The 26,701-nt window shown below is 52.2% G+C and overlaps 2 long non-coding RNA genes across 2 annotated transcripts in view, besides 6 other annotated features; one reads left to right on the top strand and one right to left on the bottom strand.

Moving 5' to 3' along the window:
• The window catches only part of LINC01271 (long intergenic non-protein coding RNA 1271), a 10,632-nt gene extending 2,369 nt beyond the window's left edge, over nt 1–8,263 (top strand). The window contains exons 2-3 of the long non-coding RNA NR_109950.1: nt 4,618–6,060; nt 7,725–8,263. This is a non-coding gene — a long non-coding RNA (long intergenic non-protein coding RNA 1271). The remainder of the gene's footprint in view (nt 1–4,617; nt 6,061–7,724) is intronic.
• LINC01270 (long intergenic non-protein coding RNA 1270) lies at nt 4,055–26,254 on the bottom strand. The gene is made up of 5 exons (NR_034124.1): nt 26,144–26,254; nt 20,561–20,818; nt 6,960–7,169; nt 6,544–6,622; nt 4,055–5,674 (listed from the first exon to the last, which is right to left on the bottom strand). It is a non-coding gene; the product is annotated as a long intergenic non-protein coding RNA 1270 (long non-coding RNA).
• Nucleotides 9,418–9,928: an enhancer, noted in NCBI's record as "H3K4me1 hESC enhancer chr20:48925583-48926093 (GRCh37/hg19 assembly coordinates)". NCBI's record gives its function as "activates a minimal SCP1, AML or CMV promoter by ChIP-STARR-seq in primed H9 embryonic stem cells {active_cell/tissue: H9 hESC(primed)}" and the evidence as "EXISTENCE:reporter gene assay evidence [ECO:0000049][PMID:30033119]".
• Nucleotides 9,929–10,440: an enhancer, noted in NCBI's record as "H3K4me1 hESC enhancer chr20:48925071-48925582 (GRCh37/hg19 assembly coordinates)". NCBI's record gives its function as "activates a minimal SCP1, AML or CMV promoter by ChIP-STARR-seq in primed H9 embryonic stem cells {active_cell/tissue: H9 hESC(primed)}" and the evidence as "EXISTENCE:reporter gene assay evidence [ECO:0000049][PMID:30033119]".
• Nucleotides 12,628–12,922: a silencer, noted in NCBI's record as "tiled region #5066; HepG2 Repressive DNase unmatched - State 1:Tss". NCBI's record gives its function as "represses a minimal TATA promoter and a strong SV40 promoter by Sharpr-MPRA in HepG2 cells {active_cell/tissue: HepG2}" and the evidence as "EXISTENCE:reporter gene assay evidence [ECO:0000049][PMID:27701403]".
• Nucleotides 13,219–13,994: an enhancer, noted in NCBI's record as "H3K4me1 hESC enhancer chr20:48921517-48922292 (GRCh37/hg19 assembly coordinates)". NCBI's record gives its function as "activates a minimal SCP1, AML or CMV promoter by ChIP-STARR-seq in naive H9 embryonic stem cells {active_cell/tissue: H9 hESC(naive)}" and the evidence as "EXISTENCE:reporter gene assay evidence [ECO:0000049][PMID:30033119]".
• Nucleotides 24,351–24,851: an enhancer, noted in NCBI's record as "H3K4me1 hESC enhancer chr20:48910660-48911160 (GRCh37/hg19 assembly coordinates)". NCBI's record gives its function as "activates a minimal SCP1, AML or CMV promoter by ChIP-STARR-seq in primed H9 embryonic stem cells {active_cell/tissue: H9 hESC(primed)}" and the evidence as "EXISTENCE:reporter gene assay evidence [ECO:0000049][PMID:30033119]".
• Nucleotides 25,965–26,701: an enhancer, noted in NCBI's record as "H3K27ac-H3K4me1 hESC enhancer chr20:48908810-48909546 (GRCh37/hg19 assembly coordinates)". NCBI's record gives its function as "activates a minimal SCP1, AML or CMV promoter by ChIP-STARR-seq in naive and primed H9 embryonic stem cells {active_cell/tissue: H9 hESC(naive and primed)}" and the evidence as "EXISTENCE:reporter gene assay evidence [ECO:0000049][PMID:30033119]".

The raw sequence follows: 26,701 nt of genomic DNA, 5'->3' as shown, positions 1-26,701 counted from the left end.
CCGCGCCCGCCTGAGACTTTCTCCTTGGGTTAATCAGAAGAATCAAAGAGAAGTGCAAAAGGAGGAATGGTGACAACTGTGGTCTAACCCATCTTGCGTGGGAGGCTCTGATATTTCCAGAGCAGAGCGGGGGTGAGTGCAGCTCATGACAGTGAGTGTCCCTGGTGCCATGGCTGGTAGGTTAGAGGGGAGGGCTGCAGATGGGGAGCCTGTTGGAAGCTTCTTCACCAGCCCAGACATAACATAATCCAGAGAATCCCATGCCTGCCAATCTCTTCCCTTTTCTAAATCCTTTCACATCTATGAGTGGAGGTAGGCCAGGTGATAGCCGGGTTAATTCCTGGATGCTATTCTGTTCCCGTGATGTATTTGTCCACTTAGATGCCAATACCAAACTGTTTTATTTCTATGCCTTTGTCATATATTCTAATGTCTGGACGGACAAGTCCTCTCTCTTAGTTCTTCTTTCAGCATTGCTTTGACTATTTTTGCACATTTACTCTTTTATGTGACTTGAGAACATCCCCTTTTAACAGACAGGCCCAGAGATGTTAAGGGACAAACCCCAAGTCACACAGGGCTTCTGCCTCCAAGCCTCATGGCCCATTTCCAGGACTCCCAGGGGTCCTGGGCAGTGTTAGGAGTGAGCATGAGCCTGGCATGCTGGGAGGAAAGGGAGAGTGTTTTCACCGCCCCAAACACGCCATTCTTGTGGGTCGTGAAGAACACTGTTTGCCTATTAAAGGCTTTGGACGCCTTGAAAAATAGCAGCATTTGCCATGTTCACATTTCACCTGCAGGTATTACCTACTCTTTCCATCAATTCGCTTTTTAAATGTTTGCGAAAACTTAATTTTAAATGAACTCATTTTATCCTGGCTTTAAATGAGGAACCAGTGTTGACTGTGAGGCCTTTGTTGTCTGTGCCCTGCCCATACCTCCTCTCCCTTTTCTCCGGTGAACACAGACAGGATTCCACCTGCAGCACCTGTCCCCTTCACCTGTGAGCTTTGCTCATGGGGCAGGCTGGATGTGCTGGGAACTAACACTCCAAGCGGCAGCTGTCAAGCAATGATAGGCAGGAGCTGACATGTCCCTTCCCCAGCTCCCTGACCACCCGATCTCCGCCCCTGGGGGGCTAACTCCGTTACTACATGGGCTCCCAGCGTGCCACAGCAGGACCGAGCCCCAGCTGCCTAAGTGGTTACTGGCTTGGTAGCGCTCTTGAGATTGGCAGCCCTTCCTCCCTGATCTCACTTCCCTACCAGTGCTTTCTGGAGGCATCTCCCAAATAGGCTACTTGCCTTCAGTTTATTCTGTTAAGGTCTGCTTGCAGGCACCCAATCTAAGGCACTTGCTGCAAATGGAAGACAATTGGTGAAATATACAAAAAAGTGAAACAAAGCCAGCTACTATTGCCGATGACGGCTTGTACTTGGGATCTGCTCTGTTTCTTCCGAAGAAAAAGCAGGTGGTAGGAAGGTGCTCAAGACACACAAGCCCCACGTGGAGTTTCTCCCTCCCCTTGGCATCACAGGGAGGACGAAAGGGAGCTGGAAAGCCTCACTTACAGTGTTAACTGATGGAATTTCACGCCGGGTCCCTATACCTTGCAGTTACCTTTAGCCCCATCCATGGCCCCAGGCTCACGAGGTCCTGAGAACAACTTTCCACAGGCCAACTCCAAGGACAATGGAAAGTCCCTTAGCCTGGGCAGCTGACAAGACACAGGCCTGGCTGGACCCAGTGGGCATCCCTCAGTACCCACCCAGGAGGGGCCCACAGGACAACTAGCCTGACGCATGGGCAGATAGATGGGTTCAACTTTGCCGTGAGTGCATCTGGAGAAGGGAGAGCTCATGAGCTCATTCATTCATTCACTCATAGATTCAACAAATTCTGATTGAGTACCGACTGTGTGCTGAACACTGTGCTAGGCACTGGGGAGATAGAGAGAAGGACAGACCCAAATCCCTCATGGAACTGCCACTCCAACAGGGGACACGGCGAGAAACAAACAAACACACAAATAAACTCGGAAATGAGAGCATTCCATGCTACAAAGGACAGAAACAGAATGAAGGGATCAAAAATACATGGGGTGTCTGAGCACAGTGGCTCACGCCTGTAATCCTAGCACTTGGAGGGCCGAGGTGGGAGGATTGTTTGAGCTCAGGAGTTTGAGACCAGCCTGAGCTACATACTGAGCTCAGTGAGTGAGTATATCCCTACTTTAAAAATATATGTATATAGCTGGGCATGATGGCACACACCTGTAGTCTCAGCTATTCAGGAGGCTGAGGCAGGAGGATCACTTGAGCCTGGGAGATGGAGGCTGCAGTGAGCTATGATTATACCACTGCACTCCAGCCTAGGTGACAGAGTAAGACCCTGTCTCAAAAAAAAAAAAAAAAAAAAAAAAAAAAAGAGGAGAGAGGGCTTTGGTAGCATAGCCTAGAGAGCCTCTGAGGAGGGTCAGTGAAGTTCAGAACTGAATGTGGAGAGCTAGAGAAGGCAAAGAACTAGGGAAGAGCTAGTGCAAAGGCCCAGGGGTGGGAATGAGCTGGGCATGTTGGAGGGGCAAACACTGGCTGGTGTGCTGGAGTGGAGGAACAGGGGAATGGTGGTAAGAGGCCAAGGTGAAAGTGGTGGTCCTGGGGCAGGTCAGAACAAAGATGCCTGGTAAGTGTCTGTGTGAATACTGTGTCTTGCAGGAAAGGCATCCATGGGCACTGGATGGGAAGCAAATAGCAGAGGCTGAAGGCAGTGGGTTTGGGAGGCTTTTTCTCTTGGTATCTTTATGTGGGAGGGGAGGCCAAGGGGAGAGACTTTGGTTTGCTTGGGGTCAGCCAGACTGCAGCAGGGAAGGTCCTCAGGCCCCTTCATCAGGCCTGGCTAGTTTCAACCAATTGAATCAGCAACTGGTCTTCAGCACCTCATCATAGCTTGTACTATGTGAGAGGCTATTTATTGAGATATCTATGCACCAAGCTCTCTACAACCCTACCAGAGGCTGCCCGACATGCCCCTTGCCTGGGAGATACAGAAATAGAAATTTGCAGTAGAGTGTGACAAACATTCCAGGGAAGGTCTGGATGAAGGAAGGGTCATTCAAATTGGCTTTTGAAAGATGAAGAGAGACTCACTGGAGAAAAACCAGCATTAAAAGAGCAAACAACTATCTCGCTTGGTGCTGTGTCCCCAGCACCTGGCTCAGAGCCTGGTGGACAGTGGGGGCTCCATCAGTATTTGTTGACGAACGAATCGGAGCTGCCCACACTTTGGTTATGCAAATTGGAAACTGCCTTCACGATTTTTATGCTGTCTACTGTCCACTTCTACTATTCCTTATTTAATGTGTTTCTTCAAATTTACTGACGTTTTTACTTAAATAAATTCATTTTAAAAGAAAACATTTGGTGTTATCACTAAAATTGAAAAACCAAAGAATACATGCCACAAATCAAAGATAACCAGAAAAATACTTAAAAAGAAAACAAAACGATGTTATTAAAGTCTACCTATTGAAAGAATAAAAAGACAAGCCACAGAACAGGAGAAAATATTTGCAAATCACATATTTCACAAAGGCTTGACTAGTATCCAGAATATATATAAAGAACTCTCCAAATCTATTAAGAAGAAAACAATTGGGTCTTTTTTTTTAACTGACATAAAGTTTGAACAGATACTACACCAAAGAAAATATACGGATGGCAAAGAAACACATACAAAGATGTTCAACATCATTAGTCATTAGGGAAATGCAAACTAACACCACAATGAGATACTATTATCACCTATTTGAATGACTAAAAGTAAAACACATGTACACACACAAAAAACTAACACCACCAAGTGCTGGTGAGAATACGAAGCAACTGACACTTTCATACATTGCTGGTAGGGATGAAAAATGGTACAGACACCTTGGAAAACAGCTCAGCGGTTTCTGATAAAGTGAAACATACACTTGGCCACCTGGCCCAGCAATTCCACTCCTAGAAATTTACCCAAGATAAACAAAAATTTATGTTCACATAAAAACCTGTTTGCAAATGTTTCTAGTGGCTTTATTTATAATGGCTGAAAACTGGAAACAGTCCAAATATCCCTCAGCTGGTGAATGGATGAACAAGCTTTGGTACATCCATACCCTGGAACATTATTCTGCAATAAAAAAGAACCATCTACAGATACACAAAACCGCATATATGCATCTCAAAAACATCATGCTGAGCAGGAAAAAAAAAACAGACTCAAATTGAGATAACACATTGTAGAATCCCACTTATATGGAATTCAAAAAAGGCAAACTTGTATAGGAACAGAAAACAGATAAGATGTAAAATTCAAAAACATGTGAAACTCATCTGTGGTGATACAAGTCGGGATCGTGGTGGCCCTAGAGGGAACATGAGTGGAGGGGAGAAAGGGCAGCTGTGGGGGTGGGGATGTCCAGTCTGCTCACTGGGGTGCCGATTACAGGTTTGGGACCAGCTGGACACCTCATTCATATGTGCTGCAGCTCTATAGGACATTTTGAAAAGTCTAGCTAGATACAATTGTGTGCCTGAGACATGAATGAGCCTGACACCTGCTCTCCTTTTCACAAAGGGAGACTAGCAATTATTTGGTCTTCGAGGCAAGTTAGCACCACACAGAGACTCTTCTGGATATAAAGGAAAGACTGTAAAGAATTTGCAGAGAGAATAACTCTCGCTATGTGACCCGAGGTGATTTTATGCTTTGCCTGTGCAGCCTATAAAATAATCTTGTGTGGTCCCCATGATGCACATCAACCAGGAGATGCTGGAGAGTCTGAGACAGCGTGCTGGCAGCACTCTGCCGGGGGAAGGACACGGAGGTGTCCAGGCTCGGCTCCAAAAGCAGACAAGCCTGCACTGCGCTGGAGCAGGTGAGAAGTAGCTGGGTTCCACCGTGCCCTTTTCGTCTGTGTCCCTTGCCACCCAACACGAGCTCAGCACACAGTTGATCTTCACTAACTAGTCACCCCTCCAAGCTTTTGCAATGGTTGTTCCCTCTGCTAAAGATACCCCCTTCTCCCACCTTGACCACCCGACTAACTCTTAAGCTCAGCTCCCAGGTGCCTCCTCCTCCTTCTTCTTGGTACATGAGTGCCCCGCTTGGCATTCGCTTAGGGGTGTCTATACACACTATTTCCTCTGCCTGGAGTATCTTCTTCCATGGGGCAGGGGTCAGTCAGCACCTTCTGTATGCAAGGGACAGAAAGCCAGTCCCAACTGTTTTCAGCCAAAAATGGGAAAGACAGTGGCTCACATAACTAGAAAGTTGAAGGTGCCTAATTTCAGGTACAGTGGGATCCAGGAGTTCAAAGCCTGTCCAGCTCTGTGCTGCTTCCTGTCAGGCAGGCTTTTCCCTTGTTTTGTCCTCTTCTTCTCTAAGCGTTCACTTGCTCACTGTCCATCCAATGGAAAATGGCATCTCCTTCACAAATCATGGCCAACCCTGAAGTCCCAAGATCAAGTTTCATTGGGCAGGCTCAGTCATGTGCCCATCCCTGGACCAATCACTAGAGCAAGACCCGGTCACATGTCCACCCCTGGAGACAGAGGCCTCTGGGCACCCCCAGCCTCATGGACTGAGAAAAGGGAAGAGGGGGTTCTTCAGTAGGAAGTCGAGGTGCTGTTACCTGAAAATGGGAGATAGATGCTGACTTGTCCACACACCCGCACCTTCTCCCAGCAAACTCTAGCTCGTCTCTGCACATTGTATGACCTCAGGCCAACCCCTTCCCCTCTCTGGGTCTTATGTTCCTCCTCCGGAAAATGGGCAGGAGGCCGTTTGAATTCCAACATTCCAGAATTCTGGGACAGCTTCCAGGACTGGAGTCAGCTCCCTAGATCCCAGGAACGTTCCAGCACTTCTGGGGACGGAAGTGGAGCATCAGCCAGAGCCCTCCCCGGCCCCCGGCCTGGGAACATGTTTAGAAGATGACAACTGGGCTCCCTTTGGCCGAAATTCCACTCCCGTGGGGGCCTTGCCAAGGAAAATAAGCCCAAGAACCAGGCATTAAAGGTGAGCATACTTGAGCATTTTAAGATGACAAATTATTTACACAGGTGTGGGAACCAGCCCCTCGCACCCTGCTTTCTTTTTCTCCCTCCCCTTTCCAAATTCTTTCCCCCAAGGGTGCTGACAGACATGCCAAGGGAGGGGGTGGTTGGTCGTGGAGATCTGCCCAGAGTAAGTCCACAAACCCAGGGCAAAGTAGGAGGACAGAGAAGCCGGAAAGAGGGTGTCTGCGTGGCGGAGGCTGGTCCTTGCTCACCTGCCTTCTTGCTCTCTACCCCATTGCCTGGGGAGGTACTGAGGCTAGGGTCCCAGGGATTTCACTGCTACCCGAGTCCTTGAAGAAACTCATGCCCAGGCCATCCTTTGTCCACAAGGGAGAATAAGGGACCAGAGAGGTGAAAAGCAATCCCCAGGGTCACACAGCCAGTTAGCTGAACTTGGGGCTAGCAGGGGAAGAGGTAGAGGAAGCAATTGTTTCTTACTCACCTAGTGTGTGCCTGACACTGTGCTGAGCTCTGGGAACACATTGTGAATGAAACAGACAAAATCCCCTGCCCTCATGGAGCTGAAAAAGATATAAACAAGATAAATAGCAAGATACCTCCAGAAGTGCTTGAAGAAGAGTAAGACGGGGTGAAGAGGTGGCAGCGGTGCTGTCTAGGTTGGGGAGGTAACATTTGAGCCAAGAAAGATGAGAATGAGCCGGCCATGGGGAGATTGGAAGGAAGGACATTCCAGGCATCTGGCACTGCACATGCAAAGGCCCTGAGGTGGGAAAGGGCTTGTTGTGTTCAAGGAACTGTCAAGGGGCCAGTGTGGCTGCAGCAAGAAGGAAAGGCAATGACTGAGGGGTAGATTCAGGTCAACAAACCCAAGGGGTAGGTATAATCATTCTGTGTTACCAAGGAGGAAACTGAAGCCCAGAGAGGGGCAGTGACTTGTCCAGGGTCACAGAGCAGAGCCAGATTCCAGTACTTTTCATTGGCTCCAAACCCACATTCCTGCGCTTTCGTGAGGTGAGAGGATGGGAGCAGGCGCTGCGAGGGCCTTCCAGGTCTCCAGCCTGCAGCTCAACTCCAAAGATGAGAAGCATCTGGGCTAACTGGTGCTTCCTGTGGGAAGAAAGCAGAGATTGATTGAGCTGCTGAGTCACAGGGGAACAACAGGCTAGGCTCCCAGGCTGCAATGGGTTCTGCCTCAGTTTACCTACCTGTAATAAACGTGTTTCATCACACGTCTGCCTCCAGTGCTGACTTCAGAAGGGTGCTGTGAGGGTTAATTACTGCCTGGCAGCTCCAGGAGCCTTGATGAAAGGTGGCGGGAAGTGGGCGCTATTAACCTGGGCAGGTAATTACCCACGGCCTGAGGGAGGGTGCAGAGGGGTCCTAGCCTGAGTCACTTCTGGTTCTCATTCAACCCCAGGCCAGCCTCTTTCCAGGTGGGTAGGGCCCAGTGTGCCCAAACATCTGGCCATCGTTCTGGCCCCAAACCCCTCAGCACCGGGCAGGGCTGAAGCTAGGAGTGGTCACAAGCCACACAGTCCCAGGGTTGAAATCCCATCTCTGCCGCTCCTCTGGCCAGAAGACCTGGACAACACTCCTCACCTCTTGGGCCTGTTTCTTCATCTACATAGTAGTGTCTTAGTCTGTTTTGTGTTGCTATAACAGAGTACTACAGCCTGGGTAATTTACAAAGAACAGAGATGTATTTCTAACAGTCCTGGAGGCCGGAGAGCCGAAGATGGAGGGGCTCACTCAAGCAAGGGCCTTCTTGCTGTCATCCCATGGCGAGGGCATCCCATGGCAAGAGGTGGCACGTGAGACAGCAAGGAATGGCCGAACTCACTTTCATGACAAATCCACTCTCTCCATCATGAAGCCACTCCTGCAATAATGATACTAATCCATTCATAAGGGCAGAGCTCTCAGGACCCAACCACCTCTTAAAGGCCCACATGACCTTTGGGAGACACGCTGAGACCCTGGCGGTGCGGGGTGAGGACGTGGCCCCTCCCCAGGGCACTGTGGTTGTTTCTCACACATATGCCAGATACTGCGCCTCGCAGCCACTTCGTCCCCATTGCCTCAGTTTGAGGCCAAAAGTGACACATCAGGCCACAGCCACCTACCCCGTCAGCCATCTCAGCCTCCGTGACCTGAAGGGAAATGATGAAAGACTTTTCTAGAAATAAATGATTTTTAAAACATCCCAGGAAATCATCCCTGGCTGCCGCTGGGCCCCCAGGAGGGAGGGCAGGCCTCTTATTCCCCCTGCCCCAATCCCCACTTGGGCGCCAGAACCAGGCTCTGACTGCCCCCTGTCCCTGGAAGCCCACCCCTTCCCTCTTCCTCACTCTTGTGGCTCCTGGGTCTTGATGCCACCCCCGTCTCCCCCACCCCATACGTGCACACACACACATGCACACACACGCAGATGCACACACATGCACACACGCACATACACACGCCTGAGCTCTCCGTCCAGCTATGAACGCACAGCCTGGTCCCCAGTGAGCCCCGATGTTTTCCTTCTTCCAGGGTTCAGGGGACAGATACTAAGGCCAGAGCTCCCTTCCTCCTTTTACTCCCTCCCTGAGGCAACATGGTGCCCATCTCACAGGTGGGCACACTGAGACTCCGAGATGCAGATGCCCACACTCTGAGCGGCTGAGAGGCAGGGAGGGTCACATCCTCCGGGAGGGGCAGGGGAGTCCCAGCGGCAGCCTGAGCAAAGGGCAGGGGCGGGGAGCCTGGCCCTCCGTGGGGTTCCTGGGAATGAGGCTTTCTACTGTGAGCAGGCAGCTCCGGGGCCTTGGGACCCCGGATGGGAAGAAGCTGGGCCCTTGTCAGGTGGCTGCCCCTACAGGTAGAAGTCAGGCACCAGGTGGCCACTTTCAGGAAGAGCCTGGCATTAGGAGAGCTGCTCCAGGGTGGGGGCCCCACTAAGCTCACCTCCCACCCCTCTGCCCCTCACTCACTCCCTCTGCTCCAGCCACACTGCCCTTGCTGAGCCTTCAACAAGAGGATCCCACAGCCTGGCCTTAGCACCTGCGGTTCCCTCTGCCTGGAGCACCGTTTCCCACCCCCTGCCTTTGCACGTGGGCTTCTCCTCTTTGTTGGGGCTTCTGTTCAAATGTCACCCCATCAGAGGGGACCTCCCAGGCTCTCTCCATCGCACCTTCTGCTTTATTTCCTTTGGAGCCCTGCTCACTTACTGAAATGACCTCAAATGTCTGATTCTCCTCAGCTAGAATACAGGCTCCACGAGAACAGAGGGCTTTTAAATGTCTTTCTGTTTTGTCCACTGCTGTATCTCCAGGACCTGGTAGCAGGCACGGAACACAGTGGTGCTCAATAAATGTTTGCTGATGTACTGAAGAAGTTTTGAAAAGATAAGATGTAATTTGTATCACAGCGGGAGGGGTGGGTGTTTCAGGGGAGACGTCCTCCAAAGAACTGGATGATTTCTCCAGGGTCTTAAAGCGTGTCATGACCAGCTCGACGTCACAACAATAATAATAATATTTATTGGGCGCTTCCTGCGGTAAGCACTGTACACAGATCTTCTCAGAGTCCTTCCAGCCACCTGTGAGGTCAGGGCTGTGATTATCCCCACTTTCCAGATAAGGAAACCGTAACTTAGAGTTACAGTTAGGGACTGCTCCAGGTCACCAGTGATTTGGTGGCAGGCCGTGGTTGAATACAAGGCCACTTCGACCCCTCTCCCACCACCCTGGCCTGCCCCTATCCCTCCAGAGCCTGAAGGTTCCCTGGAAACCACACGGTCCCTTGATCCCTGGCACAGCCAAGGGAGGTTGTGTGTCTCGCCCATCACCCCCTAGCTGGTCAGGGGCCCAGAGGGGATGATCCCTGGCTGCCGGTGGGCCCCTGGGAGGGAGGGCAGGCTTGGCAGCTGTCCTGTCCCGGGGACGCCAGGCAGCCGGGAGTTTCTCTCCCCGGACTTACTGTACATGATTCAGCGCCAGCCCCAGTTGTGAAATCTGGGAATCTTGTGGGCAAGGCTGGGCCTGGGGGATGGCCGTCTGGGAAGAGGAGGCCGGGAAGGGGTTAAGGGGGGTGGCGGGGGGAGGAGGGGGCAGGCGCCAGGCCAGACCAGCAGAGAGCGCACAGTTAGCACTGGGCCGGCTGCCTGTGGCGGGTGTCTGACATCACAGCTGCGTCAGCCCAGCCAGCCCCAGCCCCCTACTTCCTCCTCTCCCTGGGCAGCATCCTCCGCCACCTCCCCAGCCTCACTGTCCTGTCCTGAAAACAAGCAGCATCCAGTTCCCTCCTGGAAGGAGGCAGGGTGGTCAGGAAGAGGGACTTTGCATACAGGAGGGACTTAATAAATGATAGCCGTGATGTCTTGGAGCCAGACCATAATCCTGTGAGCTAGACAGGGCAGGTAGGAAGCTATCACACTTATTTTAGGAAAGAAGAGACTCAGGGTCTGAGAAGGGAAGGGACTTGCCCAAGGTCACCCAGCTGCAGAGTCATAATGACTTGAAGTGTAAATAAGGATCGTGTTGATCTTCCTCCACTCTTCATTAGAAGGACTAGAAGGACATGTGTCTCTTGGTGCCTGGTTGGGCTTCAGTGAATGTCCCAAGGCCTGGAATTTTCTTCCTCATCTCGTTAATTTGTTAAGTCAGATTAAACCAAACGAGCATTTGTCTGACTAGAGGAATAACAAAGGATTTCATAGGGACTATTCATATATCAGTGATGACTTATGGTAGTGAATAAAATAAATTCTGCATTTGAAATGTTTTTCTTAAGAAATTACAGACTGAGGCCAGGCGCGGTGGCTCACGCCTGTAATCCCAGCACTTTGGGAGGCCGAGGCGGGCAGATCACTTGAGGTCAGGAGTTTTAAGACCAGCCTGGCCAACATGGTGAAACCCCGTCTCCACTACAAATACAAAAATTAGCCGCCCATGGTGGCGCACGCCTGTAGTCCCAGCTACCTGGGAGGCTGAGGTGGGAGAATCGCTTGAACCTGGGAGGCAGAGGTTGCAGTGAGCCAAGATCTTGCCACCACACTCCAGCCTGGGCAACAGAGCGAGACCCTATCTCAAACAAACAAACAAACAAAAATCACAGAGTACCTACTCTGCTCCAGGCTCATTTACATGCGTCAGGCTCAGTCCTCATGGCAACTCTTCGAAGGTGGGACTATTACCCCATCTCACAGAGGAGAAAACTGAGGCACAGTGAAGCAAGTGATGCCTGAGGCCACAAAGCCAGGAAATGACAGTGGTGATAATAATAATAATAATAATAATAATAAAAAAAATGCTAGTTGGCCTTGATAAGCTGCTTCCTCCACGCACTGAGCATGGTATTTATAGGAGCACACTGGCTTCTTTGAGCTTCCCAGGAGGAGAGCACTCTTACTGTCCCCATGTCACAGGTGAGAAACCAAGGCCCAGCTGGGTTACATTACTTGCCCAGATCACACAGCTAGGAAGTGACAGAGCTGGGATTTGAAACCAGGCTGTCTGGCCTCTGTCCGTGCTCAAGCACAGTGCTGGGGCTGGACACACTGTAGGTGCTCAGGTCACTCAGGGGTGACTGAACTGGAGATGCTCAGGGCTTCAGAGGGCACCCCTCCTGCAAGCTACCCCTAGCATCAGCTCAGGGCCACCCTGAGCTGGCCTGTCGTGGCTGGGCAAGGAAGTGCAGTTATGTCTTCCCCAGGATGCCATTATTCCCACAGTTGCCACAGCCCTTGGGTGCACAGAACCACCATGAGGAGCTCCAGGATCCTCCCCATTTTACAGAGCAGAAAAGCCAAGGCCCAGAGAGGGTGGGTGACTTGCCCAAGGTCACACAGCATGGTCGTGTGGGCTACAGCCCCACTCCCAGCTCCTGAGCCTGCCCTCAGCTGCGGAGGCCATGGAGGATGAATTCCAGGAAGAAGAGGGGAGCCGAAACCTGGCCCTCCCTGACCCTCCCCAGGAACAGCCTTTCCTCTATTCCTTCCTTTTCTATCTCCTAGCTTGTGGGACTCAGCCTTACATGAACTGGGTCACAAAGGGGGACAGGAAGGGCATTCCTGGCAGAGGAAACAGCACGGGCAAAGGTGGACCGCATGTGGAGCAGGGAAGGAAGGATATCTGGTTGGGATGCTGTGGAGAGTGAGGAGCCGGGGCAGGGAGCAGCTAGAGTCAGGTAAGCGGGCCTTGAATGTCACGCTAAGGAGTTTGAGCTTTGTCCAGAGGCGATGGGAAGTCAGGAAGGCTTTAGAGCGGGGAAGGACCAGGATCACTAAACAGAGGGTGGACTATTGCCATCACCTCCCCACTATCCCCCCTGCCTCTGTCCTGGCCCTGGCCCCTCCAGCCCATTCTCCACTGCAGCCAGAGGGATCCATGAAAACTGAAGTCAGACCACGTCCCTTCTATGCTCAGAACCCTCCATGACTCCCATGTCCTGCAGAGAAAAAGCCAAAGTCCTTTAACAGCCCACGTGGCCCTGCAGGATCCGCCCCCCACGGCCTCTTGGCCCTCACGTCCTCCTAGTCTCTCTCCCTCGCTCACCCTGTTCCACACACTGGCCTCTTTGCTACACCCCAAACACAACAGCCACAGCCCCCACTCAGGGCCTGTGCACCGTTCCCACTGCCTGGAACACTCTCCCCTCCCCGCGGCTCCCTCCCTCACCTCCTACAGATCGTTGTCAGCTGTCACCTGCTCACCAGGCTGTTCCTGCCCCGCCCATTGAAATCCCATCTCCTTTTCCTGCTTCATTTCTCTCCCTAGCATGGATCTTCTCAAATGCAATATGCAACTTATTTATCTTGTGTATTGCCTGCTCTCTCCACAAGTGTGAACTCCACGGGGGCAGAGACCTTTGACCGTCCTATGTCCTGCCATGTCCCCAGCGCCTGACCCACAGGAATTGCCCAATAAATATTTGTTCGGTGAATGGATTCTTTTTTTGGCAGAATAACTTGGTGAGGACCTTCCCTGGGGATGCAGATGGAGAAGCGACCTGCCCAGGGTCACCCAGCTCACAAGTGGCAACCTCATCTGGCCCCAAAGTCTGTGATTTTTGCCTCCATTCCAGGCTGCCCTTCTAGGCATTAGGCCCCACATCAGCCACTGTACCACTGCATATGCCCACGAGGCTGCAAGCTGGGGTCTGTCCTTAGTTCTATCTTAAGCTAGAGGCTCAGAGAGGTGAGGTGACGTGCCCAAGGTCACACAGCAACTTACAGTGTGAGTTCGGCTCTTTCTGCCTCTGTATTTTGGGTACTGTCTTTAAAGCGGCTCTGCCTCTCCCTCCTCCTTTCCTCTTTCCAACCAATGTGTTTGCGGCTGGAACATCAGGCCTGTTGTGCGTGGCCTTGACATACACCATGTCCCGGGCCTGGCCCCGCCTACCACCCTGGCTGGGCCACGAGCACAGCGCCTGGTTCCACATGCCTCAGGGATGAGCCGCAGAGAGTGTGACCAGGCCCAGCTGACACATCTCAGAGCACATGTGGGTCTGCCTCCCACAGGCCCAGCCGGCCCCCCAACACCAGCCAAGTCTCAGCCCGTCATCGTCCCCCGGGGGTGGTGCTGGGCCTTGTGGGGCAGAAGGAAAGGTAAACCATGACCCTGAGGAGCTCAGAGACTGGGGTTCTTGGGAAGCCAATTCAGGCCTAGAACCAGGGCCAAAGTCTGGGTGGTTTTAGAGGAAAAAGAGACTGGCTCTGGGGTTGAAAACTGTGTCACCAGGGACCAGGCAGGAATTTAAAATGAGCAGAGTGGGCTGGGGTAAGATGATAAATAGCTACTATTCCTTGGCCTCAGCATCAGAGAGACAAGAGGGAGTGGTGGGGACTGGGGCACATGCCTTGTCTGAAGACAGTCACCTCTCAGCTCCGGTTGATGGTGGTCCCTAGAGAACAGGGCCCAATATGATCGGATGCTCCGTGCCCTGATTTTCCAGAGGGAATCAAAACACAGGTTTTTATGTAGTACCCACAGATTCTTAAATATTGGCTTCATTCATTTAAAAATTCTATGTGGGCTGAGGAAAGCCCCACAGGCTTGGGCGCCAGATTGGGCCCCTGAGGCCTCCAGTTTGCAGCCTCTGTTCGCTGCAGCTGAATGGAGCAGGCAGAGAAGGAGCAAATCTCAGCCTGACCCCGAGTCAGGAGCTATGGGTTGGGACGGTGGCCAGGACCCAGCTCCAGCAGCTCCAAGGGACGTGGAGAAGTTTTCTGTCATCTGGTCCCCTCCTCCACTCCATGGAGATGATTCCCCCGCCCGCCAGCTCCAGCAGGCTGGGGGGTGAAAGGGAGCCTGGGCGGGAGCCGAGGTCTCCTTTCTCACATGGGACACAGCTGTGGATGTTTTTCAGGCGGATCCTAATTTCTCTCTCCCCATCCCCCGTGGCTCTGCCACACCAGGAAGTGGGTGACTCTCTGTGTCCCAAGTTGTCCCCCAAAAGTCCGCTCCATGCTCCAAGCTACCTGCTTCCACAAGCACAACTTTGAAGCTTCACCATGTCCCTTATAACCAATTTTCAGATGAAACAGGCTCAGGGAGGGAAAACATCTGGCCCAGGCCCCTGCAATCAACACACAGAGGAGCTGGACTTAAACCCAGGCCTCACGCACTTGACCACTGGGCCCTCATCCTGTCTCTTCCTGGTAGAACCCAGCCCACCCTCCAAGTCTTGCTCCAGCGCTTCCTCCTGGCTTATTGAACAAGCAGCCAGGCCCTTGGCCCACTGCCAGGTATTCAGACATGAACAGATAGTGTGTCTCAGGCTCCCCTGTGCTATTTGTTGAATGAATATTTCACTCATTTTCTCCAAAGTCGTGGGTGGTTGTCCATATCCAATCTGTTGTCTCAGCCTCTGACCACATGTCTGTACACTTCCCCGATGCCTCCTCCTGGATGGCCCCCAGGCATCCTCCAAATCAGTATGCCCAAAGCAAGTTCAGCAACTTCCCCCAAACTGTCCCTCTGCCTGTCTCCCTTCTTTTGGAAGGCTGCACAACTGTTCAGCGTCCAAAGCCAGAAACATGAGCATCATCCATAAAGCCTCCCGCCGCCATGCCTCCAACCCAATTGGTCACCAAAGCCTGGGAGTCTCGTCCTCAACCTCCCTCAAATCCATCCACCCTCCCCTCCTCTGAGGCTGCCATGCCAGGTCAATCTCATCACCTCTCACTCAGGTGGCTGCAATTCCTTGCCACCTCGCTACTTTCCCTGCAACGATACTTCCTCTCCCTCAAATTCAGCCTCCTGCAGGAGCCTGAAAGACACCTACTATTTTCTGCTGTTTACTATCAGAAGCTCCCCATTATTTTCAAAGGAAGTGTAGCACCTTGGCCAGCCTTAAAGCCTCTGACCTCTCCCTTACAATTTGTATGTTCCAGCCAGCCCGAACTACCCACTTCTCCACGATGTCTTTTCTGATCTCTGAACCTTTGCATAGGCTGTTCCTTTTTTTTTTTTTTTTTTTTTTGAGATTGGGTCTCACTCTGTTGCCCAGGCTGGAGTGCAATGGCACGATCTTGGCTAACTGCAACCTCCACCTCCCGGGTTCAAGAGATTCTCCTGCCTCAACCTCTCGAATAGCTGGGAGTACAGGCATGCACCACCACAGCCCAGCTAATTTTTTTATTTTTAGTAGAGATGGGGTTTCACCATGTTGGCCAGGCTGATCTCAAACTCGTGACCTCAGGTGATCTGCCCGCCTCGGCCTCCCAAAGTGCTGGGATTACAGGTGTGAGCCACTGTGCCCAGCCGTGCACGGGCTATTCCTTCTGCCTGGTGTGTTCTTCCCACTCAACTCTTTGTCTGACTACTCCATATATGCCCTTCAGGATTCAGTTTACATGTCATGAGCTTCGTAAACCTTCTCTGACCCCCTAAGTCTGGTTTAGGTACCTGCTGAGGTCCTACAGTGCTCCCCGCCTCCCACCATGTGTGAGTCAAACTACAGTTATGGCAACCAGAAACCCTTCCAAATTTTGTGTTTGTTTTGGATTTTAGAGACAGCATTCCTTCCAGGCATTTTAAGCAGAAAGGATCCAACACAGGGAATTGAACACTCACAACATTGCTAGAAGGGCTGGAGAGGCACCAGCACCACACAGCAGAACTGGACCTTCAGGAGAGCTGCCAGCCACTCAGGATGGTGGGGAATCAGGAGGCCACAGAGGAGCTGTAGACTTTGAGAACGTATCACAGCACCATCCAGCCATCTGGAGATGAGGAAGCCACCACCACCACCCCTACCTCTAGACTCCCCAAGAGTGGTAACCGGACGCCAAGGTTGCTGCAAGAAAATCCATCCCATGACCATGCTCACCAGCAGAAAGAGAGCCCAGGAAAAAACAAGGCGGCCCCCACTTCCTGACTCTCACAGGAAGGCATCTGCCTGGCGGGACCTGCAGAGCGTTCAGAGCCCCTGCTGCAAAGAAGGCTGGGGAATGCGGCGTGTAGCCTTCCAGTCTCTGCAGCCTCTTGCTAGAAAGAGATATTAATAGGAATGGATGCTGAGGATCAGATGACCCTGAACATGAGGTCTTAGGATTCCCTATCTCAGCCCCAACACCCTGTGCGAATGGAAACCTCTGCTTACTTGTCTGTGTTCCCTGATGGACTGCGGACACTTCAAAAGGCCAGGATGATGCCTTGGATATCTCGGGCTCAGCAGCATCTTGCATAGGCCCAGTGCAAGACAACAGTAGTCATGCAAGAAGAAAAAGAAGAACTGACATTTATTGAGCATTTACTATGCACTGAGCACTGGGCTACATGTTTTACATACCTGTTGACATATTCACAACCCAATAGGGTAGGCATTATTGCTGTCCCTATTTATACATGAAGAAGAGAAGGTCTATAGAGGTGAAGTAAGTTTCCCAAGGTCACCCAGCCAGTACATATCAGAGATGAGATTAAAAATGCAATCTGTCTGACTTCAAGCTCCAAACACTTGCCACTTATGAGAGGCACCTTTATCTTCTCCCAGGCATCCAGAAAGGTCACAGCAATGTTGTGCAATGAATGAATGAATACATAAGTGTCTTCTCCTTTAGGAAACTACCTGTCCCCATCTCAGCTGCCTTCCCTCCACTGGGCCTGGGTTCCTCTCCAAGATCAGGGCTCAGAGAGTAAAAATAATACATAAGACTGCACTGGGATTCCTCACCTTGGGTCTGTAGGTGGCTCTTAGGCTCCATGACCACCACTCCCATAAAGTTGCTAACATTTTGTGTCTATATGCAATTTTCTGGAGATTTGACTCAAAGTTTTCACTAAGCTTTCAAACTTCAAAAACTTGATACTGCTGCATCAGGGAGGAACACAGGAATTTTCCTGCCTCCTGACCTCAGTTCCGATCTTATGACATAGCATGCATTCACCTGTATATCCATCCAACTTACCTATCCATCCATTCATTCTCTCATCCACCATCCATGTACTCCTCCATCCTATTTCCCCATCCACTCATCCACCCATTCATCTATTCATCCACCAATCAATCTAACCATCCATCCATCTTTCCATCCATCCATCCACCTATCCATCCATCTATTCTCTTATCCACCCTCCTACCCACCAATCTATTCATTTATCTACCCATCCATTCGCCTATCCGTCCACCCACTCATCCATCCATCTATCCACCTACCCATCCATCTATCCACCTACCCATCCATCTATTCTATTATCCACCCTCCCACCCACCAATCCATTCATTTTTCTACCTATCCATTCTCCTATCCATCCATCCATCCATCCATCCTACCCATCCATCTATTCTATTATCCACCCTCCTACCCACCAATCCATTCATTTATCTACCTATCCATTCTCCTATCCACCCACCCACCCATCCATTCATCTATCCATTTACCCATTCTTCTGTCCACTCACTCATCCATCCACCCACTCTTTCATCTATCCATCCAACCATTTGCCCATCCATACACCCACCCATTCACTCATGGAATCACCAATCCATCTACCCATTTATCCCTTTATCTGTTTATTCATCTAGCCATCTATTAAGTCATCCATCACTTTATGTATTAATTCATTCATTTAATTATATATTTATCTATTCATTCATCCATCAGTAATTCACAGTATTCAACAATGAAATCACCCGCTCCATCCATCACACAATTTAAAATCCAGCACTTGTTTATTTATTCAACCATCCATCATCCATCTCTCCATTTATCCACTAATTTCTTCATTCATGTGTTCACTCATCCATTAATTCAATTGTTAATTATCTCATTCATTGATTCATCTATTCTTTCATTGATCTATTTCTTCATCCATTTTATCCATTCATAAACAGTTCCCTTATCTCCACACATGTACCCAGCCATTAAATTATCCATTTGACTATCCACCCATCCATCAAGTCATCACTCATCTTTTCACCCATTAAATGCTCCATCCACCCATTCTGTTCTCTATACCAGAACCAAGAAGTGAATCACGGCTGGCCCTGCCCTTGAGAAGCTCACAATCAAGTGATGGAAACAGACAGCTACAACCCAAGATGGAAAATATTCAGAAGTCAAAGGGAGCTCCAGGCAGGTGCCTTCACAGAAGGGGACTCAGGTCCTTCTAGGGATTCAGAGAAGGCTCCTTGGAGGAAGCAGCATCCAAACAGGACTCATGAAGTCAGAAAAACAGTGAACAAACTCCCTTAGATATCCCAGAGGGTAACTCACAGGACCTAACCACCTAGATGCTCATTGAGCTCTTTGGAGCATCCAAGACTGAGAACACCTGTGGCAAATGTTCACCCAGGAATTCCCAAACCCAATGGCTAATGGAACACTTTCCCCCTTGTCACTCCTATTAGTACCCCCAGAGACTCTGTGTCCCTCAGATCTGTGTCCTCAAAATGGATAAATGATAAAATAGATTTGGGAAATGCTAGTCTGGTCCAAACTTCTTGTTTCCACAAAGAAGAAAACAAAGTTCCACAAAACATCTCTGACCTCAAAAATTGTGTTCATCTGTAGATAAGATGCAATGCACAATATATGCCCAAAGACTCCACGTTTTTTTTCTTCAGACGGAGTCTTGCTCTGTCAGCAGGCTGGAGTGCAGTGGTGCGATCTCGGCTCACTGCAACCTCCGCCTCCCGGGGTCAAGAGATTCTCCTGCCTCAGCCTCCCAAGTATCTGGAACTACAGGTGCGTGCCACTATGCCCAGTTAATTTTTTGTATTTTAGTAGAGACGGGGTTTCACCATGTTGGCCAGGATGGTCTCGATCTCCTGACCTCGTGATCTGCCCTCCTCGGCCTCCCAAAGTGCTGGGATTACCGGCGTCAGCCACCGTGACCGGCCTCCATTTTTTTTTTTAACCTGCAGAGCTGAGCATAGTGTGTGGCACACAGTAGGTGCCCAATAAGTATTTATCAAAAGAATGTGGCCCTTGTTGAAGGAGTCACTCCAAAATGGCCTTGGCTTTTAAGCTGTCCCTACTGCGCAGTGACCCCTGTGTGGCCTTAGCCAATGCCACAACTCCCAGCCTCAGTTTTTCTGTCTGGGAAATGGGCAATAAGGTCATCTCAGCAAAGATTGATGCAGGAAGCGCATGCTTAGACTCGACTTTGGTTGCAGGCTTTGTCTCAGGATGTAACTCACCGCCACTTTCTCACCCTGGCTAGTTGGGTTTCTAGCCAGCGATGAAGACCTAGAGGCATCTGAGCCACACTGAACCTTCGAGGTTGAGGCTGGTACCTGGAAACCGCCTGAGTAATCCCACTGTGTTCCTGCCCAGCCTGATGGGGCATGAACTGGAAATTCCCTATAATATTTGCTCATTAAATGATTCCTCCCCTCCTCCTGCTTTTTCCTCCTGCCTCCCACTCTCCCTTAGCCAGCTCCCAAAGCGCCTGCAGTAATCTCTGCAAAGGAGTCCAACTGGTTTGGGGAGGGCTGGGTGGCCACTTCTTCCTGCCTCCCACCTGCCCACCCGCTGCCGGAGCCCAGGCCTCTGCCTGCCGGGGTGCGTGGGCTGTGCAGTTCTAGAACACAGCGCCGAATGCCCACGCAAGATAAAGGGACCACTAGCGCCTCCTCAGCCCAGGCCCAGCCCTTGTGCAATCCAGATCTTTGCTCCTCAGAGACAGCCATGGGGATGAGCAGATATGCTTATCTGATGGGGCCACGAGGCCTCCAGATGATTCCAGGGGCTGTTTTTTCTTAATCCGGCTTTGGGCTCCTCACTGCCATGCAAATGTGCCCGCTGTTCCCCCATTTGGGCATGTCCTCATCCTCCTTCCCGTCAGTCAACACTTATTAGGCACTTCCTGTGTGCCCAGCCCTGTGCTGAGTGCTGGGGACGCAGAGGTAAATATGACAAAGTCCTCGCCCCATGGAACTCACAGTCTGAGGGGGACAGGGCAGATACATAAAAAAAGAGAATGGTCACAGGAACGTGGGTAACTCTCAAAATCATAATGTTGAGGAAAAGAAGCCCAGTAAAGAATACACCACATGATTCCACTTACAGAAAATTGTAGAGAACGCAAACTAATCCACAGCCGCAGAAAGCAGATCAGCCACAGTCGGCAGGCGATGGGAGTGTGGATGGGGCGGCCGGGAGGGATGAATGACAAAAAGACACAAGGACACCCTTGGGGGCGATGGATATGTCTGCTGTCTTGATTGTGCTGGTGGTTTCGGAAGTGTGTGCATATGTCCAAACTCATCCACATGAACACTGGAATATGCGCAGTTTATCGTGTGTTTGTTACACCCCAGTAAAGCTGTTGAGAAGAAAAAAAGGGAGATAATTGAGAGACAGTGTGAGCAGTGCAGCAAAGGTGAAACTCAGGAAGGTCATGGGAGGGTGGATGGAGAGGGTAGTCAGGGAAGGCTTCCTGGAGAAGGCAACTGTTGAGCAAAGTTTTGAAAATGAAAACAAGTCACATAAGGAATGAAGAAAAGAGAGTGGTGTTAGATTCCAGATGGCCTGAGCTCAAATCCTGACTCAGTGGATTCACAAAAAGCTGTGTGTCTTTAACTTCAGCTCTCTGAGACTCAGTTTCCTCATCTGTAAAATGGATCTCCTATTTACCTGATAGGACTGGTGGGAGATTGAAATTAGGGAAAGCCCTCCGCCCGACATCCAATGCTCACAGCATCTGCAAACGCCCTGAGGTAGGAGAGGAACAACAGGGAGGAAGTCTGTGGTTGCAGCAGAGAGAGGAAGGGGAGAATCAGGGGGTGGGAGGGAAGGCCCCAGGGACCAGGGCTACAGGATGTGCGGGCCATGGTGAGGGCTAGAGCTGTCTCTTAGCACTGGGGAACCAAGCGAGGCCTGGATAAATGCAGGAGAATTTTATCAACAAAGTTGTCCTTTTAATGAGGTCACTCTGATTATTACAAAAAACAATTTTACAGTCGGGAAAACTGAGGCTTGAGCTAAGGATTGTTCCGAGGTCCTGTGGAATCACACAGCTAGAAGGCAAGTGGTCTCCCATCCGCCTGAACCTCTCTGTAATCTCTAAGCAGGTGAAGGGCTGTTATCCAGGTCTATTTGCACACCTCTGGTGATGGGAAACTCACAGTGTTAACAGTTCTTCCTATAGGACCCAATTAACAGAGGCTTCTCAAATTGGACCCAGCTCTTCCCTCTAGCTCTGCCTGGACACCAGCTGCTACCCTGCCAGAGTCCTATTAGGAGGAGCCCGCTGTGGGCGGGGATGAAGTAGGAAGAGATATGAGCTGTGACGGAGGCTTTCTGGGTGCTGCCCCCAGCACTCTGCCACAAGAACCCAGGACATACCCATTCCTTCTCTGGGCTTCAGTTTCCCCATCTGTAAAAGGAGAGATGCTCATTGCTCTCAGAAGCAGACTTGGCCCTGCCGAGGGGCCTGGCAGGGGGTGGGGCAGGCATGGGGTTCACCAGTATCACCCGTCCACCCCCGTCTTGGGGGCCAGGGCCCTGTCTGGATATAAAGGCCGGTGCCCTGGGGTGCAGCCGGCTTAATAACAGGTTCCAGGATCCAGGAGGGGTTTGAACCCAGGAGAATAGGTTCAAATACAATTGAGCAGCCCACGTTCCTGTCTGTAGCTCTGAAAGCCAATCGTTCCCACACCCAGAGGGCCCGGTCCCGGCTCTCATCAAACCCATTCACCCCAGTGGAGCCCCCATCTGTGTACCTACCATGTGCCAACCTTCCCACTGCGCTCAGAAGATGCACACTCCTGACTTTGGCCATGAGCTCTGGACCTGCCCCGGCCCCCAGTCCCCTCCTCACTCGCCCCTTCACACAGGCCAAGCTGAGCCCTGCATCGAGGCCTTTGCACTTGCCATTCCTCCTGCCCAGAACTCTCTTCCTGCAGATCTTGCCATGGCGGCTCGTCCTCCAGGCCTCCAGCCAAGCTCACCTTCCAGTGAGGCCTCTGACCCCATCCTATTGATCCCTGTCAGCCCCCTGCCTTGTTTTTCTCCATCAAAGTCTTCACTGGGATGTCCTGATCCTCTGCCTGGCGTCTGTCTGTCCCTGGATTTGGAGCTCTTAGACGGCAGAGTCTAGGGCTGCCCTGGGACTGGCTCTGACATCACCAGGTCCAGGCTGGACCCAGCCTGGTACCCACCTCACAGTGTAGGTTAAAGAACAAATGAAACGGGCATGGGAGATTTTGCACCCACCTGGGGGACCATCAATGCTTCATCTACACAGACCCTCTCATCTCCACACACAGGCCAGGGGGATGCATAGACCTGGACACAGATTCACTGCATCCCGCCCCCTCCAAAACACCCTGACACACACGTGTGCACACACACGCGCCCCCCGTGCCCACCTCCCCTGGCCTCCACACCAGTGCTTGGCACCCAGACCTCTCAACTTTCCCTCCTTTCACTGGGCGCCAGCTGGCCCTTCGCCAGCTCCTCTCCCCAGCCTGCCCGCCTGCCCTGGGCACCAGACTTATAAAGGACGAGGAAGGGCCTGGGGTGGGCTGGCTGGGTGCCATGTGAATGCGGCCCCTGGGGCCTTCGCTTCCCCCCGCTGCCAGACACCTGTGTAATGAGTGTCATTACTGGGGACCCGTTGGGCAGGCCCCAGCTCGCCGCAGCCACCCAGGCTGCACATGATGCTGGGGACAGGGTGCAGGGAGCGTGAGGGGCAGGGGTGCTGGGGGCGTCTCTGCTCTTGCCAACCCCAAAGCTCAGCTCTGGGTTTCTGGATCAGCAAAGACGACTTCCCGCCTTCCACGCAGATTCCAAACCTCAGGCCCTTAAGTCCCCTATGGGCTAAGGTCCAAGATGGACTCGGAAGGAGACAAAGGAGGAGAAACACTTATTGAGCACCTACTGTATGCCTACTTGTTGCTAAGAGCTGGTCACTTTTACTTCCCACTGTCAGACACTGTCTCATCCACTCACCCCTCTTCTGTTTGCTTATTGCACATCTCAGCTCATTCAAGCACAATTGAGCACCTACTATGTACCAGGCTGTGTGCTAAACACATTACATATATTAACTCATTTGTCCTTTCAGCAATCCTATGACGTGGCATCTTACAGGTAGGATGCAAAGAGGTAAAGTGTCTCACCCAAAACCACACAGCAAATAAGCAGTGGGCCAGGAGTTAACCCAAGGCCCCTGGCTCCAATGTCTGTGTTCTTAACCACTCACTGCTTTACACTACCTCTTCCATCAGCCCTACAAGGGCAGGGATTTTTGTCACTGCTGTGTCCCCAGCACCCAGCCCAGGACCTGGCATATAGGAAGCGCTAAAAAAAATCCAAGGAATAAATGAGTGGACGAATGAGCGAATGATCTCACTGAGTTCTGAGAATATCTTTCCAGGTGGTATTTATGGATGAGGACACAGAGGCTCAGAGAGGTAAAGTGACTTGCCCCAAGTCACACAGGGAGTGTGTCACAGCACTGAGATTGGAACTAGGATGGGAGGTCTGCCCCTCCGCCCTCCTGCCCCCCATGGCCCTAATCTCTCCAGACAGTCCCTGCCCCTGGACTGTGGGCCACATGAGGGCAGACGTGTGCCTGTCCCTGGGCAGTCCTGGGATCCAGCCTGGGGTCTGCACGCGGTGGAAGGCAATTCCAGCTCCTCCCCTTGGCCCCAAGGCCTTCTGAAAGGGAGACCCTGACAATAACACTTCCTCACCCGGTCACTTTCCTGACTCCCAAGCAGTGATGAATTTCCCAGACAACGCCTGCACCTCACCGCCACCTCTGGGCCTGTCTGTGTGCTGCTTCCCCTACTGGGAACGCTCTCCCAGCCCTTCTGCCCCAGCCACAGCTTGGAGGTCACCTCCTCCGCCAGGAAGCCATCCAGGCAGCCCCACAGCCCACAGCTCTCGGGGCTGCAGGGATGAATGTGGGACCCTCTCCTCCACGGCCTGTGTTCTGGCTTCTGGCTTCTCCGGGGGAGTTGAACTCCCTCGATTCTCATGCCTGTCCAGCCACTGACCTTCTAGGGGAAGCTGGCTCGGGCCTCACTGAGCTCATCTGTGAGATGGGTAGAAGTTCTGAATGCGATCTCAGGCAGTCTTGCCATCTCTCACATAGGCTCCTGCCCAAGTCCCAGCCGCGGCTGCTCACTCAGCCCACCAAGCCCTGCATGGTCCAACCCCTGCTGGCCCTCCAGCACCATGTCCTGCTGCTGTCCCCTCCTCACACCCCTTCAGCCTCCTTGCCTTTCCTGGAACTTCCCAAACCCATTCCCACCCTCAGGGCCTTTGCACGTGCTGTGGTGAGTTTCCCTCTGCTGGAAATCTCTTCCCCAGGTCTGGTCCTTCTTCTCCTTCAGGCATCTGCTCCACATCACCGCCTCAGAAAAGCCCTCTCTGACCCACTCAGCTCCCAAACACCCCTGCTGATTCCCATCACGGCCCTTCTCTCTGGTGAAATCCTCTCGCCTCTTCAAGCATTTGCTCACCGATGTTTATCTCCTCCATCCTCTCCTCCACCATAGTGAGGGCAGAGACCTTGTTCACTGCTGGGTCCCCTGGAGCCTGGCATACAGTAGGTGCTCAAGCAGTGGTGGTGGAATGAAGGGAAGAACATCAAAGTGCTGCCCCACCCCTGCCCACCACCGGCCCCCAGCCCAAAATCAGGGAGTGGGAACCAGGAGGCCCCACTCCCGCCAGCAGCAGGCGCCCCCTCTGAGCCCGAGCCTGTCTGGTTCCCAGGCCCATAAAAACCACCGCCCTCACCTTGCCCTGGGGCGGCAAAGGGTGAAGGAGGAAGCTGTGGGGTTCAGAGATTGAACTGTCATGGATTCAGAGGCCTGGGCCAATGAAAGTCAGTGTTCACAGAGTGCCTTCTGCGTGTCCAGGTGCAGTTGAGACACCCCACACTCACAGCCCTCACTGCAGTTCTGCAAGATCAGGACCACCACGATCACCCTTCACAGGTGAGGAAACTGACGCACGGTAGGGTGCAGCCACGTGCTCCAGGCTGTGCAGCCTGAGAAAGGTGAAGTCAGCATTGGAACCCAGCTCCGCCCGACACCGCAGCCAGCATTGCTCTCATCCATGGCAGTGCACGGAGACCATGTCGGTGCCAGCTATGTGCCAGGTGCTGGTTCAGAGCACAGGTCCTGGAGCCAGACTGCTCAGTGCGTTAGGCAGGTGACTCAGCCCCTCTGTGCCTCAGTTTCTCCAGCTGTGAAACAGTCCACATGGCACCTCCCTTGTCGGCTGCTGAGGAGACGAAAGGAAATTATTTCCAGTCAAACAGAGTGCTCTTGTTGCATGCCCTTGGGAGAATTCATTCCCGCTCTGAGCCTCAGTTTCCCCATCTATCATATGGGGATTAAACTACGCCACTGTGTTGCATCGCTGCGAGACTAACGTGACGTATTTGCACAGTGCCTCCCGCACAGTGGACGTTTACTCAGAGCTCACTGTTCATTCACTCCAGTCCTGCAGGCCTCACTGTCCCCATCTGTAATCCCAGAAGGCAGCCCTGATCACCCAAGACGGCTGCTAAGTCCCTAGTGCAAAGGTCGAGGGGTCCCAGGGCAGCCCTGACAACTGGGGATATCCTGGGGGTGGGGAGGACAGCTGAGTGGCCGGGATCAGGAAGCTGCAGGGGGCCCAGGTGACTCACCCGCTGGCGGGGCTTGGGGGCTGGGCTGCGGCCCCCACGCACCCCTCTGGGCCCTGCCTTGTGCCCAAAAGTGCTGTGTCATGCTCCGTCATGTGGCTCCGGGTCATTAATACCCGAGTTCTGGGAAGCTTGGGCCGAGTTCCCGGAAGGGGTCAGCCAGTTCAGTAAACAGATTGGCTGGTTCGTCGTCACAGCTGAGCCGGGCGGGCCTGCAGCTCAAGAGGCAGGAGATGGAGGCTGGTGGCCAAGGGGACACAGGAACTGCCCCCGGCCCCATTCGGGGCTGGCACCTCCCAGGGCAGCCTGGCCCAGGCTCTGCAGATGAAAGGAGAAACCAAGGCCCAGAGAGGGCAAGGCAGTTGCCAGAGATCACACAGCAGGTCCGGGGCGCGGACCTAGAATTCTGGTCTTATCATCCAGTGCTCTCAGCATCACTCTGACTGATGGGCAGGGGGGGACAAATCACCTCAAATTGTAACCTAAGCCCCCCAAGCCCCCAAATCCTAACCTGGACCCTAAGGCCAGTGTGTTGGATGAAGGGAGAAATAAATGGAAGGC

Source organism: Homo sapiens, chromosome 20 (genome assembly GCF_000001405.40).
Source record: "Homo sapiens chromosome 20, GRCh38.p14 Primary Assembly".
In the NCBI taxonomy this organism is placed as follows: domain Eukaryota; kingdom Metazoa; phylum Chordata; class Mammalia; order Primates; family Hominidae; genus Homo; species Homo sapiens.
This window is presented reverse-complemented; position numbering and strand designations above follow the sequence as displayed.